At 43.2% G+C, this 20,944-nt stretch overlaps 1 long non-coding RNA gene and 1 pseudogene across 4 annotated transcripts, besides 2 other annotated features; one reads left to right on the top strand and one right to left on the bottom strand.

Moving 5' to 3' along the window:
- HSP90AA5P (heat shock protein 90 alpha family class A member 5, pseudogene) lies at positions 1,429-3,590 on the top strand (annotated as a pseudogene).
- EIF2B5-DT (EIF2B5 divergent transcript) lies at positions 16,782-20,848 on the bottom strand. 4 transcript variants are annotated; one of them, NR_183719.1, is made up of 4 exons: positions 20,782-20,848; positions 20,299-20,324; positions 20,123-20,180; positions 16,782-19,865 (listed from the first exon to the last, which is right to left on the bottom strand). It is a non-coding gene; the product is annotated as an EIF2B5 divergent transcript (long non-coding RNA). The 4 variants fall into 4 exon arrangements; NR_183718.1 differs by lacking the exon at positions 20,299-20,324; NR_183720.1 differs by lacking the exon at positions 20,299-20,324 and having other exon boundaries at positions 20,745-20,848.
- Positions 19,334-19,975: an enhancer, noted in NCBI's record as "H3K4me1 hESC enhancer chr3:183851535-183852176 (GRCh37/hg19 assembly coordinates)". NCBI's record gives its function as "activates a minimal SCP1, AML or CMV promoter by ChIP-STARR-seq in naive H9 embryonic stem cells {active_cell/tissue: H9 hESC(naive)}" and the evidence as "EXISTENCE:reporter gene assay evidence [ECO:0000049][PMID:30033119]".
- Positions 20,845-20,904: an enhancer, noted in NCBI's record as "active region_20901". NCBI's record gives its function as "activates an Ori minimal core promoter by ATAC-STARR-seq in GM12878 lymphoblastoid cells {active_cell/tissue: GM12878}" and the evidence as "EXISTENCE:reporter gene assay evidence [ECO:0000049][PMID:35858748]".

A 20,944-nucleotide genomic window follows, 5' to 3' on the forward strand; every position in this document is an offset into this window, starting at 1 on the left:
GTGGGAACAACACAAGAATATTTATTCTCTCCACCTCTATACAACATTGTACTTAACATTATTCAGGGCAGGCCGGGTGCGGTGGCTCATGTCTCCCAGAACTTTGGGAGGCCAAGGTGGGTGGATCACTTGAAGTTAGGAAGTGGAGAACAGCCTGGCCAACATGGTGAAACCCCATCTCTACTAAAAATACAAAAATTAGCCAAGCATGGTGATGGGCACCTGTAATCCCAGCTATTTGGGAGACTGAGGCGGAAGAATCGCTTTAACACAGAAAGTGGAGGTTGCGGTGAGCCAAGATCTCACCACTGCACTCCAGCCTGGGCGACAGAGCGAACAGTCTAAAAGAAAAAAAGAAAAATAAATAAAAAGGCATCCAGATTGAAAGGAAAAAGTAAAGCAATCTCTGTTTGCAGATGATATGATCCTGTAAATAGAAAATCCCAAGGAATTCACTAACAATCTACCAGAACTAATAAATGAGTTCAGCAAGGTTACAGGACACAAGATCAACATACCAAAAGTATTGTATTTATATATACTAGCAATAAACATTCTGAAAATAAAATTAAGAATCATTTTTAAAAAAATAAGGCATTTAGGGATAAACTTCACAAAAGAAGTGCAACACTTGTATACTGAAAACTAAAAAACACTGTTGAAAAAAATTAAAGAAGATCTAAATAAATGGAAAGATAAGATATACCATGTTTAAGATTTGGAAAGCTTAAATCCTCTGAAGATGCCATTACTCCCCAAATTGATCTACAGATTCAATGCAATCTGTATCAGAATCTTGGCTGTCTTTTTTTTTTTTTTTTTTTTTTTTGCAGAAATTGACAAGCTGATTCTAAAATTCGTATAGAAATTCAAGAGGCCTGCATGCTTTAGCATCCTGGTGCTGCTATACTGCAGAGCCCTGTGGTCCCTTAGCCAAGCTGCCTGAGGAAACCCAGACCCAAAACCAACCGATGGAGGAAGAAGAGGTTGAGATGTTTGCCTTTCAAGCAGAAACTGTCCAGTTGATGTCACTGATCATCAATACTTTCTACTTGAACAAAGAAACCTTTCTGAGAGAGCTCATTTCAGCATTTTTTTTTTTAGCTTTTTATTTTTATTTTGGACACAGCATCTCACTCTGTCACCCAGTCTGAAATGCAGTGGGGTGATCTCGGCTCACTGCAGCCTCCACCTCCCGGGCTTAAGTGATTCTCATGCGTCAGCCCCTGACAAGCTGGGACCATCGGCATGTCCGTCATGCCTGGCTAACTTTTTGTATTTTGGGTAGCGATGGGGTTTCACCATATTGCCCAGGTGGGTTTCACCATATTACCCAGGCTGCTCTTGAACTCCTGACCTCAAGCGATCCACCCACCTTGGCCTGCCAAAGTGCTGGGATTACAGGAGTGAGCCACAGTGCCTGGCTCAAGAGAGCTCATTTCAAATTCATCAGATGCTTTGGACAAAACCTGATATGAAACCTTGACGGATCCCAGTAAATTAGACGCTGGGAAAGAGCTCCACGTTAATCTTATGCCAAGCACACAAGATCAAACCCTTACTATTATGGATACTGAAACTGGAATGACCAAGGCTGACTTGATCAATAACCTTGGTACTGTCGCCAGTCTGGGACCAAAGCATTCATGGAAGTTTTCCAGGCTGGTGCAGAATCTCTATGATTGGCAAGTTCGGTGCTGGTTTTTATTCTGCTTATTTGGTTGCTGAGAAAGTAACTGTGATCACCAAACATAAACATGAGCAGCATGCTCGGGAGTCCTCCTCAGGGGGATCACTCACAGTTAGGACTGACACAGTGAACCTATGGGGCATGGAGCAAAGGGCACCCTGCACTTGAAAGAAGACCTGAGTATTTGGAGGAAAGAAGAATAAAAGAGATTGTGAAGAAGCATTCTCAGTTTATTGGCTATCCCATTACTCTTTTTGTGGAGAAGAAACGTAATAAACAAGTCAGTGATGCTGAGGCTGAAAAAAAGGAAGATAAGAGGAAGAAAAAGAAAGAGTCCAATGACAAACCTGAAATTGAAGATGTTGGTTCTGATGAAGAAGAAGAAAAGAAGGATGCTGACAAGAAGAAGAAGAAAAGTAAGGAAAAGTACATTGATCAAGAACTCAACAAAACAAAGCCTATCTGGACCAGAAATCCTGACGCTATTACTAACGAGGAGTATGGAGAGTTCCATCAGAGCTTGACCAATAACTGGGAAGATCACTTGGCAGTGAAGCACTTTTCAGTTGAAGGGCAGTTGGAAGAGTTGAAGGACAGTCGAAGAGTTTAGAAGAGCTCTTTTTGTTTCAAGATGTGCTCCTTTTGACCTATTTGAAAACAGAAAGAAAAAGAACAACATTCAGTTGTATGTACACAGAGTTTTCATCATGGGTAACTGTGAGGAGCTAATCCCTGAATACCTGAACTTCATTAGAGGGGTGATGGACTCAGAGGATCTCCCTCTAAATATTTTTTCTGAGATGTTGCAACAAAGCAAAATTTTGAAAGTTATTAGGAAGAATTTGGTCAAAACATACTTAGAACTCTTTGCTGAACTGGCAGAGGATAAAAAGAACTACAAAAAGTTCCACGAGAAGTTATCTGAAAACATAAATCTTTGAATATATAGACTCTCAAAATCAGAAGAAGCTTTCAGAGCTGTTGAAATAGTGCACATCTGCCTCTCGTGATGAGATGGTTTATCTCATTGTGTTTTCCAGAATGAAGGCAAACCAGAAACATATCTATTACATTACAGGTGAGACCAAGGACCAAGTAGCTAACTCAGCCTTTGTGGAATGTCTTCAGAAGCATGGCTTAGAAGTGATCTATATGATCGAGTTGATTGATAAGTACTGTGTCCAGCAGCTGAAGGAACTTGAGAGTAAGACTGTAGTGTCAGTTGCCAAAGAGGGTTTGGAACTTCCAGAAGATGAAGAAGAAAAAAAGAAACAGGAAGAGAAAAAAACAAAGTTTGAGAACCTCTGCAAAATCATGAAAGACATGTTGGAGAAAAAAGTCAAAAAGGTGGTTGTGTCAAACTGGTGACATCCCCATGCTGTATTGTCACAAGCACATATGGCTGGACAGCAAACATGGAAAGAATCATGAAAGCTCAAGCCCGGTAAGACAACTCAACAATGGGCTACGTGGCAGCAAAGAAACACCTGGAGATAAACCCTGACCATTCATGATTGAAACCTTAAGGCAAAAGGCAGAGGCTGATAAGAACAACAAGTCAGTGAAGGATCTGGTCATCTTGCTTTACTAAACTGCACTCCCATCTCCTGGCTTCAGTATGGAAGACCCTCAGAGACATACTAACAAGATCTATAGGATGATCAAACTTGGTCTGGGTGTTGATGAATATGATCCTACTGCTAATGATATCAATGCCGCTATAACTAAAGAAATGCCGCCCCTCAGAGGAGGTGATGACACATCACGCATGGAAGAAGTAGGCGGCTCTGGCTGAGGAATGACTTGTACATGTGTTCAATACTCTATCTTCATTCTCTCTGATAATATATTTTCAGGATTATTTTAGTTATTTTTGTTAACATTTAAAAAGTCTGTATGGGGGCCGGGCGTGGTGGCTCACACCTGTAATCCCAGCACTTTGGGAGGCTGAGGCAGGTGGATCACCTGAGGTCAGGAGTTCGAGACCAGCCTGGCCAACATGGCGAAACCCAATCTCTACTAAAAAAAAACAAAATATTAGCCGGGTGTGGTGGTGTGCACCTGTAATCCCAGCTACTCAGGAGGCTGAGGCAGGAGAATCATGTGAACCCAGGAGGCGGAGGTTGCTGTGAGCTGAGATCACGCCATTGCACTCCAGCCCGGGAGAAAGTGGGAGACTCTGCCTTCAAAAAAAAAAAAAAAAAAGTCTGCATGGCATGACAATAACTATTTCAGGGGGAAGGTAAGGTTTCTTTCTACTTCTAAGTGATTTTGTGATACTTCTAAGTGATTTTGTGATACTTCAGGCACTAAAACAGAGCTAGCAATGCTTTTCTAGTTTCACATTGGCTTATTTTAACAGATTGGGGTAATGTGTGTTGTAAGATGTATGTAGGCTGGGTGCGGTGGCTCACGCCTGTAATCCCAGCACTTTGGGAGGACGAGGCGGGTGGATCACCTGAGGTCAGGAGTTCAAGACCAGCCTGGCCAACATGACAAAACCTCGTCTCTACTAAAAATACAAAAATTAGTTGGGTGCTATGGCAGGTGCCTGTAATCCCAGGTACTCGGGAGGCTGAGGCAGGGGAATTGCTTGAACCCAGGAAGTGGAGGTTGCAGTGAGCCAAGATCACGCCACTGTACTCTAGCCTGGGCAACAGAGAGAGACTCCACCTCAAAAAAAAAAAAAAAGAAAGAAAGAAAGAAAGAAAAGAAAAAAAAAAGATGTATGTAACCTAACATTAACTTTGTGATCTAAACTGTTTAAGCTATCAAGCCAGATTCCTTAGTAGGCCAAATCTTTGTCACTGAAGTTTTCTGAGAAATACCTTGATGTTTAGAGGAAAAGTATTTGTTGCATCTTCTAGGATCTACTTTTTAAACTTTTCATCCTGTAGTTGCCAATTCTGCATGTAATTGTCCTCTGGAAATATGTTAAACTGAAGCAACTTGATGGAAGGAACTCTCCACAGGACTTGTTTTCCAAAGGAAAATATTGTTTGCAGGAGCAAAATTATAAGCCTACCTAGGCATATTGTAAAGCTGTTCAGAAATAACCCAGAGCGAGGCTTGTGAATGGAACTGTAGTACCCAAGTCACATTCTGCTTAAAAAGGTTGTAACAAATACAGATGAGTTTAAAAGAAAAAAAAAAAAAAGGCAGAAATGCAACAGGCCCAGAATAATCAAAACAATCCTGGAGCAGAACACAGTTGGTAGACTCACACTTCCTCATTTCAAAACGTACTGCAGGCCAGGCGCGGTGGTTCATACCTGTAATCCCAGCACTTTGGGAGACCGAGGCGAGGGGATCGCCTGAGGTCAGGAGTTTGAGACCAGCCCGGCCAAAGTAGCAAAACCCCATCTCTACTAAAAATACAAAAATTAGCTGGACATGGTGGCGTGTGCCTGTAATCCCAGCTACTCGGGAGGCTGAGGAAGGAGAATCGCTTGAACCCAGGAGGTGGAGGTTGCAGTGAGCCGAGATCGTGGCACTGTACTTCAGCCTGAGAGACAGAGCAAGACTCCATCTTAAAAAAAAAAACTTACTACAAAGATATTGTAATCAAGATAGTGTGATACTGGCATAAGGAAAGACATATAGGTCAACGAAATTCGAATGGAGAGTTCATAAATAAACCCTAACATTTACGGTCAATTTATTTTCTACAAAGGGAACAAAATAATTCAATGATAAAAAGAATAGTTTTTTTCAGCAAATGGTGCTTAGACAACTGGATATCCACATGCAAAAGAATGTCTTTGGACCCCTACCCCTCACACCATACACAAAAATCAACTCAAAATGGATCACAGTCCTAAACATAGGAGCTAAATGTTTTCTTAGAAGAAAACATAGCAGTTAATCTTCACGATCTTGGGGTGGGCTATGATTTCTTATATATGACTATTATAAGCACAAACGATAAAAAAGAAAGATAGATAAGCCTGGGCGCGGTAGCTCATGCCTATAATCCAAGCACTTTGGGAGGTCTAGGCAGGCGGATCACCTGAGGTCAGGAGTTTGAGGCCAGCCTGACCAACATGGAGAAACCCTGTCTCTACTAAAAATACAAAATTAGCCGGGCGTGGTGGCGCATGCCTGTAATCCCAGCTACTTGGAAGGCTGAGGCAGGAGAATCACTTGAATCCGGGAGGCGGAGGTTGTGGTGAGCTGAGATCACACCATTGCAATCTACCCTGGGCAACAAGAGGGAAACTCTATCCCAAAAAAAGAAGAAGAAGAAAGGAAGGAAGGAAGGAGGGAGGGAGAGAAGGAAGGAGGGAGGGAGGGAGTGAGGGAAGGAAGGAAGGAAGGAAGGAAGGAAGGAAGGAAGGAAGGAAGGAAGGAAAGAAGAGCAAGGAAGGAAGGAAGGAAGGAGAAATTGGACTTTATCAAAATTTAAAACTATCATGCTTTAAATAAACCATCAAGAAAGTGAAAAAAGAACCCACAGGCTGGGAGACAATATTTGAAGGTCATATATCTGATACAGGATATGTACCCTGAATACATAAAGAGCTCTTACACCTGAACAATAAATAAACAAATAATCAACGAAAAAGAGCAAAGAATTTGAATAGTCATTTCTCCAAAGAAGATACACAAATGGCCAGTAAGCACATGAAGGCCGGGTACAGTGGCTCATGCCTGTAATCCAGCTCTTTGAGAGGCTGAGGTGGGCTAATTACATGAGGTCGGGAATTCGAGACCAGCCTGGCCAAAAAACCCCATCCCTATTTAAGAAAAGAAAAGAAAAAAAAAACAGCAGGCCAGGTTGGGTGGCCCACGCTATGGGAGGCCAAGATGGGTGGATCACCTGAGGTCAAGAGTTCGAGATCAGCCTGATCAATATGGTGAAACCTGGTCTCTACTAAAAATACAAAAATTAGCCAGGTGCGGTAGCGTGAGCCTGTAGTCCCAGTTACTCAGGAGGCTGAGACAGAAGAATTGCTTGAACCTGGGAGGCGGAGATTGCAGTGAGCCGAGATCACACCAGTGCACTCCAGCCTGGGCAACAGAATGAGACTCTGTCCAGACAAACAAACAAAAAAGCACATGAAAAGGTGCTTGACATCATCAGTCATTAGGGAAATGCAATACACTTTACCCTCCTGAGGATGGATGTTTTTTGTTGTTTTGGTTTTGGTTTTTGCTTTTGTTTTCAGACAGAGTTTCACTCTTGTTGCCCAGGCTGGAGTGCCATGGCGCGATCTTGGCTCACCGCAACCCTCGCCTCCCGGGTTCAAGTAATTCTCCTGCCTCAGCCTTCCGAGTAGCTGGGATTACAGGGATGCACCACCATGCCAGCTAATTTTGCATTTTTTAGTAGAGATGGGGTTTCTCCATGTTGGTCTTGCTGGTCTCGAACTCCTGACCTCAGGTGATCCGCCCGCCTCGGCCTCCCAAACTGCTGGGATTACAGACGTGAGGCACCGTGCCCAGTCAAGGATGGATATGTCTAAAAAAAAAAAAAAAGATAGATAATAACAAGTGTGGATAATAACAAGTTGGAAATCAAAATGGTGTAGACACTTTAGAAAATAGTTTGGCAGTTTTTCAGAATGTTAGACATAGAATTACCATATGACCAAAAAATCCACCCCAAAGTGTATGTTCAGAATATATGAAAACAAATGCTTATACGAAGACCTTTTTGGCCAGGCGTAGTGTCTCACGCCTGTAATCCCAGAACTTTGGGCGGCTGAGGCAGGTGGATCACAAGGTCAGGAGTTCAAGACCAGCCTGGCTAACGTGGTGAAACCCCGTCTCTATCAAAAATACAAAAATGAGCTGTGCATGGTGGCGCACACCTGTAATCCCAGCTACTCGGGAGGCTGAGGCAGGAGAATTGCTTGAACGGGGACCTGGGAGGCAGAGGGTGCAGTGAGCCAAGATGACGCCACTGCACTCCAGCCTGGGCTACAGAGCCAGACTCTGTCTCAAAAAAACAAACACAAAACTTTTCACAAATGTTCATAGCAGCATTATTTATAACACCCAAAAAATAGAAACAACCCAAATGTTCATCAATTGATGAATAGATAAACAAAATATGGTATCTCCATACAATGAAATATTATTTGGTCATGCAAAGGAATGAAGTACTGATAACATCACAAACGGCTAAACCTTAAAACCATTATGCTAAATGAAAGACAAACATACACAAAAAATTGTACGGCCAGATGCAGTGGCTTATGCCTGTAATCCCAACCATTTGGGAGGTTGAGGCGGGCAGATCACCTGAGGCAGGAATTCAAGACCAGCCTGACCAACATGGTGAAACCCCGTCTCTACTAAAAATACAAAAATTAGCTGGGCGTGGTGGCAGGCACCTGTAATCCCAGCTACTTGGGAGGCTGAGGCATGAGAATCGCTTGAACCCAGGAGGTGGAGGTTGCAGTGAGCTGAGATGGTGCCACTGCACTCAAGCCTGGGCAACAGAGTGAGACTCCGTCTCAAAAAAAAAAAAAAAAAAAAGAGAAAAAGCTGCTTTTTAAAAACCACATTGAGTGACATTCTACAAAATAACTGGTCGCTACTTATCAAAAGTATTAAAGTCAGAGCCTGACGTGGTGGAGCCCACCTATAATCCCAGATAATCAGGAGGTTGAGGCAGGAGAATACCTTAAGCCTAGGAGTTTGAGTCTAGCCTGGGCAACATAGTGAGACCCCCGTCTCTAAAAAAAAAAAAAAAGAAAAGAAAAAGAAAGAGTGTCCAAGTCATAAAAGACAAGGAGAGACTAAGGAATTGTCACAGATTGGAGGAAACTAGGAAGAAGTGAAAACTATATGCAATGTGAGATTTTGATCTAATCCTGGAACAGAAAACTGATACTGAGGGGGGAAATTGTTGAAATTCTGAAAAGGTCTGTAGTTTATTTAATAATTTTATATGGCCGGGTGTGGTGGCTCACGCCTGTAATCCCAGCACTTTGGGAGGCCTAGGCGAGCGGATGACCTGAGGTCAGGAGTTGGGGACCAGCCTGACCAACATGGAGAAACCCCATGTCTACTAAAAATACAAAATTAGCCCGGCATGGTGGCTCATGCCTGTATTCCCAGCTACTCAGTAGGCTGAGGCAGGAGAGTCACTTGAACCCAGGAGGTGGAGGCTGCGGTGAGCCGAGATCACGCCATTTTACTCCAGCCTGGGCAACAAAAGCGACACTCCGTCTCTAAGAATAAGACTAAGAATAATTTTGTACTAACGTTAGCTTCCCGACTTTCATAATTATACTATGGTTACATAAGTTGTTAACTTTAAGCAGAAAATATTAGGAAACTCTCTACACTATTTTGCAACTCTTCTGTAAATCTAAAATTATTTGAAAGTAATTTTTTTTTTTGAGACAGGGTCTCACTATGTCACCCAGGCTGGAGTGTAATGGTCCAATCTTAGCTCACTGAAACCTCTGCCTCCCAGGCTCAAGTGATCCTCCCACCTCAGCCTCCAGAGTAGCTGGGACTACAGGTACCCACCACCATGCCGGGCTAATTTCTGTATTTTTTGTAGAGACAGGGTTTTGCCACATCACCCAGGCAGGTCTCAAGCTCCTGAGTTCAAGTAGCCCACCCACTTAGACCTCCCAAAGTGCTGGGATGACAGGCATGAGCCACCATGCCCCTCCTATGAAAACTTTTAAAGTGAGAAATTTAAGAGACATTTCAATCAATTACAATATATAAACATTATTTTGAGCCTGAATAAAACAATAAACATTTATAAGAAAAAGATACTGATGGGAAAATTGGGGAAATTTGAGCAGAGTAGTTAATGATATTTAAAACTATGTTAATTTTCAGTGGAATAATGACACGATTATTTGTGCTAAATGATCATTTTCTTCTAGAGATAAATGCTAGAATATTTACAGATGAAATGATAAGATGTCTAGGATTTGCCTCAAAATAATCCAAAGGGAGAGAGGAAAGTGTAGGGGCAGGTACTGATGAAACAAGATTGAATTGATCATTGTTCCACATGGTGATGGATACATGTGTATCCATGTGTGCTTTTGTACATGTTTAGACTTTTTCTTTATAGTAATAGAAAGTTTTTTAAATTGTTTGTTTCTTTCTCTTTGCCTCCTTTCTGTTACAAATCCTAATTTCTTTGGCACATTCATGCCTCAGGTCAACCAGAGATAACATCACGTATTTGAAAAGGTAAAAGGTGGGGGGGCACATTAGTGACTCTCAAGACATCACCTACAGTAAACTGGTATTGTTGACAGAAAGTTCGGCCGGGCGCGGTGGCTCACACTTGTAATCCCAGCACTTTGGGAGGCCAAGGCGGGCGGATCACGAGGTCAGGAGATTGAGACCACGGTGAAACCCCGTCTCTACTAAAAATACAAAAAATTAGCCAGGCGTGGTGGCGAGTGCCTGTAGTCCCAGCTACTTGGAGAGGCTGAGGCAGGAGAATGCCGTGAACCCGGGAGGCGGAGCTTGCAGTGAGCCGAGATTGCGCCACTGCACTCCAGCCTGGGCGACAGAGTGAGACTCGTCTCAAAAAAAAAAAAAAAAAAAACAAAAAACAAACAAAAAAAAAAACCAAAGACACAAAGTTCAAGGTGGTACTTCCCAATTTCTGGGTTATGGACCTAGGGAACCAATCCTATGGGGTTGGCAAATACACAAATATATCACGTGATCTGTAAATGAAACAAACAGTATCATAAACACACACATACATAGCTATTTTTTTAAATAGTTTTTTTTGGCAAAGACAGGGTCTCACTATGTTGCCCAGGCAGGTCCTGAACTTCTGGTCTAAAGTGATCCTCCTGCCTCAGCCTCCGGAAGTGCCAAGATTACAGACATGAGCCACCGTACCTGGCCAGTTAGCTATTTTTAGAGGTGTTGTAATTTTTATTCATTTTATTTATTCATTTTATTTATTTTTTAGTTTTTTTGGAGACAGAGTCTCCCTCTGTCACCCAGGTTAGAGTGCAATGGTACGATCTCGGCTCACTGCAACCTCTGCCTCCCGAGTTCAAGGGATTCTCATGGCTCAGCCTCCTGAGTAGCTGGGATCACAGGCACCCACTGCCATGCCCAGCTAATATGTTGTATTTCAGTAGAGACAGGGTTTCACCATGTTACCTAGGCTGGTCTCGAACTCCTGAGCTCAGGCAATCCGCTTGCCTTGGCCTCCCAAAGTGCTAGGATTACAGGTGTGAGCCACCACACACACCTGGCCTAATTTTTAAATATGGAGTTTTCTTAATTATCTTTATGTTACCGATTTTTAACTTAATTATACTGTGGTCAGAAAATATGCTTTGTGTCAAAGCATGTCAAACTTTAATGTACATGTGAATCCCCTGGGGATCTTGCCAAAATGCAGGAGGTCGGGGGTGAGACGTGGGCGTCTGCATTTCTAACAGGCTTTCGTGTGATGCTGCTGCTACTGTTGTATGCACCATACTTTTAGTGGAAAAGGTCCATATGATACATGATACCAATTCCTTGAAATCTGTTGAGATTTGCTTTATGTATAATGTTCACAAACATTCCCCAAACATTTGAAAAGACTGCATATTATCCAATTAACGAATGCAGAGTTCCACATAAATTCATTAGATCAAGATGTTTAATTATGATATTCTAGTCTTCTGTTTCCTTATTCATTTATCTGTTTGATCTACCAAATACTGAGATATATTTAAAATGTTTTACTATAATAATGGATTCGTCGATTGTTTATTTATTTATTTTTTTTGAGATGGATTCTCACTCTGTCGCCCAGGCTGGAGTGCAGTGGCACAATCTCGGCTCACTGCAACCTTCGCCTCCCAGGTTCAAGTGATTCTCCTCCCTCAGCCTCCCAAGTAGCTGGTATTACAGGCACGTGCCACCATGCCCAGCTATTTTGTGTGTTTTTAGTAGAGGATTCACCATGCTGCCCAGGCTGGTCTTGAACTCCTGACCTCAAGCAATCCACATGCCTCGGCCTCCCAAAGTGCTGGGATTACAGGTGGTGAGCCACCGAGCCCATCCTGAATCCTTATGTTTTAAGGGTATTGCTTGTAAACAATATATTGCTGAATTTTATTCCTTGGCCCAGACTTTATGTGAATAATAAAAAAGATCTTAGAATGTTTTTAACTCTAGTCACTTCCTGTCTGACTTAACATGTATAAGTAGTTTAGCATTTTCTTTTTTTAGCCGTCCAACTTAGACATTAATATTATTTTATATCATCAATGTTTGTTTATATTTACTCACATGCTTAGCATTTTATTTACTAGAACTTTCACCTTGCATCTCAGACCTTTGTTCTGGAATTTTTCTCCTTCGGCTTGAGGTACATCTTTGAACAGTGCTGTTAATAGAACTTTCTGAAATAGTGGAAATATTCTACATCTGCATTGTCCAATATAGTAGCCACTAGCCACACATGGTTATTAGGTGCTTGAAATGTGGCAAATGTGACTGTATCACTGAATTTTTAATTTTATATAATTTTTATTCACTTATTTATTATTTATTTATTTATATATTTTTTTGAGACGGAGTCTCGCTCTATCGTCCAGGCTTCCAGGCTGGAGTGCAGTGGCATGACCTTGGCTCTCTGCAGCCTCCACCTCCTAGGTTCAAGCAATTCTCCTGCCTCAGCCTCCCAAGTAGCTGGGATTACCAGCATGTGCCACTGCACCTGGCTAATTTTTTGTATTTTTTAGGTGATCCACCTGCCACAGCCTCCCAAAATGCTGGGATTACAGGCGTGAGCCACTGTGGCCGGCCCTATCTTTCTTTGTGTTGGGAACATTACGACCCTTCTCTTCTAGCTACTGTGAAATATACAATAAATGATTGTTGGCTAGGTGCAGATGCTCACACCTGCAATCCCAGCACTTTTGGAGGCTGAGGCAGAGGATTGCTTAAGGCCAGGAGTTTGAGACCAGCCTGAGCAACATGACGAGACCCCATCTCTACAAAAAAAATTTAAAAATTGGCTGGGCATGGTGGCACATGCTTGTAATCCTAGCTACTCAGGAAGCTGAGGTGGAAAGATTGCTTGAGCCCAGAAATTCAAGGCTACAGTGAGCCATGATCATGCCACTGCACTCCAGCCTGGGTAATGCAGCCAGACTCTGTGTCTAAAAAATAAAAAATAAATAAATAAATTGTAAAATTATTAGCTATAATTTCCCTACTGTACTATCAAATACAAGAACATATTCTTTCTATCTAACTGTATTTTTGTTCCACTTAATCAGCTTCTCCTTAATCATCTTAAGGCCAGGATTGCTGGCCTTAAGCAATCCTCCTGCCTCAGCCTCCAAAAGTGCTGGGATTGCAGGTGTGAACATCTGCACCTAGCCAACAATCATTTATTGTATATTTCACAGGAGCTAGAAGAGAAGGGTTGTAATGTTCCCAACACAAAGAAAGATAGGGCCGGCTACAGTGGCTCACGCCTGTAATCCCAACACTTTGGGAGGCCCATTCAGGAAGCTCAAGCTGTCTTCAAGAGGGCTGGTCTGTGCATATCTGGATCTCAATAAAGGTCTTTCGATGATCAGTTGTCTATTTTTGTTTATCTGAAAATGTATTTATTTTACCCTTGTTCTTGAAATATAATTTTTCAGCTGGTCATGATGGCTCATGCCTGTAATCCCAGCACTTTGGGAAGCCGAGGTGGGAGGATCACTTGACCTAGGAGCTCAACACCAGCCTAGGCAACATAGGGAGACCCTGCCTCTATTAAAAAAGAAATAAATATTTTTTAAAATAAATTTTTTTTTGAGATGGAGTCTTACTTTGTTGCCCAGGCTGGAATGCAGTGGCGCCATCTCGGGTCACTGCAAACTCCGCCTTGCGGGTTCAAGTGATTCCCCTGCCTCAGCCTCCTGAGTAGCAGAGATTACAGGCGCATGCCACCGTACCCATCTAATTTTTATATTTTTAGTAGAGACGGGGTTTCGCCATGTTGCCCAGGCTAGTCTCGAACTCCTGACCTCAGGTGATCCACCTGCCTCAGCCTCCCAAAGTGCTGGGATTACAGGCGTGAGCCACTGTGCCCAGTCTAAAAATAAATTTAAAAAAAGAAAGATAATTTTTCTGGGAAGACAATTCTACGTTGACATTATTTGATCTCAACGCCTTGAAGATGTTATGCCATTTTCTCCTGGCTTCCATTTGTGCTGTAGTGAAGTCAATCTTATTTTTGTTCCCTTTTAGGTAATACTGTGTATATTTTCTCTCTGGCTGTTTCTAATTTTCTGTTGTTGTTGTCTTTGGTGTTTTGCCAACAATAAGTGCCACAGTGTTGCTAACCTGTGACCCACCAAACTAAGGGACTCCTTCCTGCCCAGGCATTGGGGAAACTGGCTATTTCTCTTGGTCAACTGTTTAGAAAGGAGTTTCCACAGCGGAACTCTTGGCACTGGGTGACCCTTATCTATGGTGACCATTCATTTGAGAGGGCCAGGAACTGAGCAGCTTCCTTCAGCCCAGGAGGCAGGATTTTCAATTGCTATTTTTAGTAGAGATGGGGTTTCACCATGTTGGCCAGGCTGGTCTCGAACTCCCGACTTCAGGTGATCCACCTGCCTCGGCCTCCCAAAGTGTTGGGATTACCGGCGTGAGCCACTGTGGCCAGCCCTATCTTTCTTTGTGTTGGGAACATTACAACCCTTCTCTTCTAGCTACTGTGAAATATACAATAAATGATTGTTGGCTAGGTGCAGATGCTCACACCTGCAATCCCAGCACTTTTGGAAGCTGAGGCAGGAGGACTGCTTAAGGCCAGGAGTTTGAGACCAGCCTGAGCAACATAGCGAGACCCCATCCTCCCTCTGGATTCAAGCCCCTGATGTTTCGGCTGATCCATTCAGCCACACCTTTTTCTCCTGGCAATACTCTCAGGAACTTCATTGTCTCTCTCCATTCCAGCCCCAGTCAGGAAGCTCAAGCTCTCTTCAAGAGGGCTGGTCTGTGCATGTCTGGATCTCAGTGTAACCAGGTAAAATTTGTTTCCACAGGGCTCTTCTAGGCTCCATGAACATCATGGATGTGGCTGGCTCCCACTTCACAATCCTGGAATGCTCTGTATCAACAGGGATCTGAAGAGTCTAACAATTGTTGGAGAGGTTGGAGCGCAGCACAGCAATTACCTCTAGGGGGGGCGGTGTTGCCAAACTCCACAAGCCACTCTGGCCTCTCATGAGGCAGGGCCCAGCCAAAGTAGTGTATTTATTGTTAATGACTTTATTTTCATTTTTTCTCCCTTCTCTTCCCTTAGGATTTTGAGTAAAGTCTCTTCTGAAAAATCCCAACCTGTTTCAACTCTACTATGGATAAAACTTAAAGGACATTTTTTCCCTCAAACCTCAGCCTAGAAGACAAAAAGAATTGTTATACCCTGGAGACTAGGTATATCTCTGGACATGCTAAGAAAAACAGGGAAGAACTCAGTTGTTTTTTGTTGTTGTTGTTTTTGATTTTGTTTTTGTTTTTGTTTGAGACAGAGTCTCGCTCTGTCACCCAGGCACAGTGGGTGATATCAGCTCACTGCAACCTCCGCCTCCCAGGTTCAAGTGATTCTCCTGCCTCAGCCTTCCAAGTAGCTGGAATTACAGGTGCACACCACCATGCCCGGCTAATTTTTGTTTTGTTTTGTTTTGTTTTGTTTTTTAGCAGAGATGGGGTTTTGCCATGTTGGCCAGGCTGGTCTCGAACTCCTGACCTCAGGTAATCCACCCACCTCGGCCTCCCAAAGTACTGGGATTACAGGTGTGAGCCACATATCCAGTCCAGAACTGTATTTCTTCTGTCATTTTCTAGCAACCTAGGACACGGACCTCAGCTATCCCATAGTATATTTAGAACTCAACTACTACTGCAGACCCAAAGTAACTAGAAAAATAAATGATACTCACAGCAGTGAACAAGCTTGGTCCACTAAGCAACAAGTGAGCCCAGCTGAGAAGCACAAAAGGCCCCAAGACTTACCCTCAAGGTGCTCCACCAGTTTAATGCTTCCTGTCACCAGAGCCCTGGCTCTTTAGCAGTGCCTAGAAAAAGCCAGCTCTTGTATACGCATCAAGGGTGCCCTGAAGGGGACATATCCTACCATTATTTTAATATATTTATAAGTAGAATTTTGGAATGGGAAAAGTGCCACTTAAAGTTAGAAGAAAACAGGCCAGGTGCAGTGGCTAATGCCTGTAATCTCAGCACTTTGGGGGGCCGAGGCGGGCGGATCACTTGAGGTTAGGAGTTTGAGACCAGCCTGGCCAACACGGTGAAACCCTGCCTCTACTAAAAATAGAAAAATTGGCTGGGTATGGTGGCACATGCCTGTAATCTCAGCTACTCAGGAGGCTGAGGCAGGAGTATTGCTTGAACCTGGGAGGTGGAGGTTGCAGTGAGCCAAGATCACACCACTGCACTCCAGCCTGGGCAACAGAACAAGACTCTATCTCAAAAAAAAAAAAAAGAAAAAAAAATAGAAGTGTTACTAAGGATGTGAAGAAATTGAAACCCTTGTTCACTGCAGGTGGGAATGTAAAATGGGGCATCTGCTGTAAAAATTATATATATGGCAGCTGAGTGTGGTGACTCATGCCTATAATCCCAGCACTATGGGAGGCTGAGGCAGGAGGATTGCTTGAGCCCACGAGTTTGAGGCTACAGCGAGCCATGATTGCGCCACTGCACTCCAGCCTAGGTGACAGAGCAAGACCCTGTCTCAAAAAATGGGGGCCAGGCACGGTGGCTCACGCCTGTAATCCCAGCACTTTGGGAAGCCAAGGCAGGTGGATCACCGGAGGTCAGGAGTTTGAGACCACTGTGGCCAAAACAGTGAAACCCCCGTCTCTACTAACAATACAAAAATTAGCCAGGCGCAGTGGTGTGCACCTGTAATCCTAGCTTCTAGGGAAGCTGAGGCAGGAGAATTGCTTGAACCCGGGAGGCAGAGGTTGTAGTGAGCCGAGATCGTGTCACTGCACTCCAGCCTGGGTGACAGAGTAAGACTCCATCTCAAAACCAAAAAAAAAAAAAAAAAAAGAAAAGAAAAGAAAAATGAAAAAAAGTATGGCAATTTCTCAAAAAATTAAATGTAGAGTTACCATATGATACAGTAGTTCCATTTATTTCAGTGAAAACAGGGACTGGAACAGATATTTGTACGATCACGTTCGTAGTGGCATTATCCACAATAGCAAAAGGGGGAAACAACCGAAGAAGTGTCCATTGACAGATAAATGGATAAATAAAATGTGGTATCTACAGCCAATGGATTATCATTCAGCCTTTAAACGGAAGGAAATTCTGAAACATGCAACAATATGGATGAACCTTGAGGACATTATGCTAAGTGAAATAAGGCAGATACAAAAAAAATACTATGTGATTCCTCTTATATGAGGGACCTAGGGCAGTCAAATTCACAGAGACAGAAAGTGGCATGGTAGTTGCCAGGAGCTGGACTGAGTGGGAAATGAGGATTGTGTTTAATGGGTACAGAGTATCAGTTTTACAAAATGAAGAGTTCTGTGGGTGGATGTTGGTGATGGTAGCACAACAACGTGAACATAAGTAACACTACAGAGTTGTATACTTAAAAATGGCCAACTTCGATCAATTTTCCATGCCAAGGTTAAAAAATTGTTAAGATGATAACTTTTATGTTTTGTTGTATTTTTACCATAATCTTTTAAAAACAGCCTCAGCCTTGGGAGAGTCAGGAATTACTTTTGTTTGTCTACAGTTGATCACATACTCAGTTACTGACTAGCAACAACCAGTCATTCGTTCAACAAATATTTAGTGAGCATCTGCCATGTGCCAGTTACTCTTCTAGGTACCTGGGGTATAGTAGTGAATAAAATAAACAGAAGGCCCACAGAGATTATATTCTAAACTGATTTCATATTCAAGACTCATTTTGAAATCTAAATTCAGAGAAAGAACCAGAACTAGCCTGAGCAACACAGAAAGACCCCATTTCTACAAAAACTACAAAACTTAGGTGTGGTGGCAGGTGCCTGTTGTCCCAGCTACTCTGGAGGCTGAGGAAGGACTGCTTGAGCCCAAGAGTTTGAGGCTGCAGTGAGCTATGATTGTGCTACTGTACTCCAGCCTGGGCAACAGAGCACAACCCTGTTTCTAAACAAAAAGAAAGAAAGAAAAGAAAAGAAAAAGAGGCTGGGTGCGGTGGCTCACACCTGTAATCCCAGCACTTTGAGAGGCCAAGGCAGGTGGATCACCTGAAGTCAGGAGTTTGAGACCAGCCTGGCCAATATGGCAAAACCCCACCTTTATTAAAAATACAAAAATCAGCCAGGTGTAGTGGTGTGAGCCTGTAATCCCAGCTATTCAGGGGGGCCTAGGTAGGAAAATCACTTGAACCTCGGAGGCAGAGGTTGCAGTGAGCCAAGATCGTGCCACTACACTCCAGCCTGGGAGACAGAGTGAGACTCTGTCTCAAAAAGAAAAAAAAAAAGAAAAAGAACCAGAACTGGCAGTTGACCAAATATATGAAAAAATGTTCAACCTCACTGAAATAGAGAAATGCAAATTAAAACTACACTTATTTTCCTTTACAGATTGGCAGAAACTCCAAACTATTGACAAAATACTCTGTTGGTGAGGCTATGGGGAAACAGGCGCTCTCATACATTGCTGGTGTAAGTGCAAAATGACACATTGTCCAGGGAGAGCAATTAAGCAGTATCTCCATGAATTCCACCAGTGCCTCATCAGGCTTGCCAGTGAGTTCAACAATGTACCTTCTGCCATGGGAATTGCATCCAATTTGAACCAGTTACTCTAATTCAATAATAAATTCTAAGAAATAAACGCAAATTTATAAAGACTATATGTAGAAAGATGTTTATTGCAGCATTATTTGTAATCGTAGAAACTGCAAAAAAAATCTGCAATGTTTCTCAAGAGAGAAATGGTTCGATAAACAATGGTATACTCGTGCTATGGAATATTATGGAATCATTGAAAATGGCTATGTTTGTCTACTTTCCCACATATGTTAAATAAAAATCAAGTTGCAGACAAAATGCATAATCATCAAAATAGCTAATACATTACCTTCACAATGTGTCAATGCCTGTTCTAAGGGCTTTTCATATATTATTTCATTTAATTCTCACAATAACTTTATGGGATAAGTATTATTATTATCCCATTTCAAAGATGAAGAAGTCCAGGCATAAAGAGGCTGAGTAGCCCAAAGCTATCCAACTAGGGCCTGGAACCGAAGCCAGGCAGTCTGGCTCTGGCATACCAGCATATAACCATAATTATCTAAACATAATTCTGTGTTTGAATACATGTGGATATACATATATTATGTTTGAATATATATGTATGGGTGTGTGTGTGTGTGTATGTAGGCATACACTCTAGCTCTAGTTCTAGACATATAAATTTAGGGAAGAAATGAATACCCATCAAATTATTAAGAATGGTTATGACTCTACAAATTGGATAGGATGAAAGAAGTAGGGAAAGGAATTTTTACTTCTTTATGTAGTGTGTGTGAGAGATTATGTATATGTGGTTTCCAATATATTTCAAGTAAGTTTTTAAACAACAACAACAAAAAACAGTTTGAGAGAGTCTTCCTGAAACTCGTCTATTAAAATCATATCCATATAGCTACCAGTCTACAGAATTTTAAGACCTGGATTTACCATAAGCACAAATGCCTTTCGGCAGCGGATTCACCACTTCCCAACTTCCCAAGGTTGCGGGAATCATTTAAAATAAATTCTGCAATCGGACCTACTTTCCATACCCAAACACCCCCCCAAGAGTGTGTGTGTGTGTGTGTTTGTGTGTGTGTGTGTGTGTCCTATTTAATTCCTTCTCCCCTCCCCCATTTCTACCTCTGGATTTGTAGGGCAGTTGAACATTCCTTTTCTACAACGTGCATTCATTTAATGGAAAACTTTTACTTAGTTGGCTTCAGCCTTTCCTTTTCTAGGATAAATCAAATGGTTTTCGTTCCGCACCCTAACGAGGCAAGAAATGACAAACTCCTCGGTCCCCCTAGGCGGGCGCCGGAGCACGACGGGTCAAGTCGGAATCGCCACGTGGAAACAGCTCTCAGCATCGCGAACTCCAAATCCCGACGTGCAACGCGGGGCGGGATGGGAACAGTTTGCAGGAACTGCAGAAGCCTGTGGCGTGGAACCTGGACAGGTCCCGTGCAGAAAGGGCGCTATGCCTTACAGAAAAGTTCCTTGCCTCCCAAATGACGCCCAGCCTTCCTGCCCCGTTCCACCGCTTTCCCACGGCCCCGCCCCTCTACAGAGTTGGTTTATTCCCCGCAGCCACCGCTTCTTTCCCCAAAGAGAAAAAGGTGCTGCTGCGCCTTTTCAAGCCTTGGACCTTTACGCCCGCACTTTCCTCTGCCCAGAAAGCTTACTGCTTAACTCCAGTACAACTTACTGGTGCGCCTGGATCCACCCCCGTCTCCACTCTGCTTAAGACACAGGAGGCTGATAGGCTGGAAGAATGAATAGATGACATAAAATAGTCATTGTTATCCCCACATAACTTGGCAGCAAGATTGTGGAACTCTGCAGTCAGACAGATCGGGTTCCAATACCAGTTCTTCCACTTACTAGCTGGGTAAACTTCCTTCATCCTTCTGAGAGTTCAAGAAACGTTTGCTGAACGAATGAATAAGATGTTTTGCAGAGATAATGCTTGTATCGTGCCTGGCCCAAAATCAGCGCTCAATGGAATTACTGGTCTCCCTACTATATGCCTGCCACCTTCTCTATTTATGCAGGTTCTGAGTTCCTCGCAGCGGGGGAACATCTGGCTCGGTTCTATCTCCCCAAGGCGCTGGGTTCCCAGAAGTTTCTAGAATGAATACGGAGGGCTACATATTTCACATGCGCGGGGCGGGGAAACTGCTGGGCGATTACAGATTCCCGATGGAGCTGGCCCCTTCGTGGCGACCACAAGTCCTATCACGCCACAAGAATCTCGGCTTGTTCACCTACAAATGAAGGCCGACGATACTTGCAGACCGAGTCTGACATCTATGGGACCCCACTCCTACCCTGCGCCTCAGGGGCCGGGACAACCGTGACCCGTACCGACTCCTCGCGCCTCCGGGATCAACCTCAGACCCCTGTGGGCTCCCGGGGAAGACGCATGCGCACTGCTCCCTCCTCGTCTCCTTCCCTTCGTTAATTAGTCCATCGCATTTCAAGTGCTGGATCCTTTTTGTCCCCTACTGCGTGCGGTGGCAGCTTCCTT

This window comes from Homo sapiens, chromosome 3 (assembly GCF_000001405.40).
Source record: "Homo sapiens chromosome 3, GRCh38.p14 Primary Assembly".
NCBI classification, from domain to species: domain Eukaryota; kingdom Metazoa; phylum Chordata; class Mammalia; order Primates; family Hominidae; genus Homo; species Homo sapiens.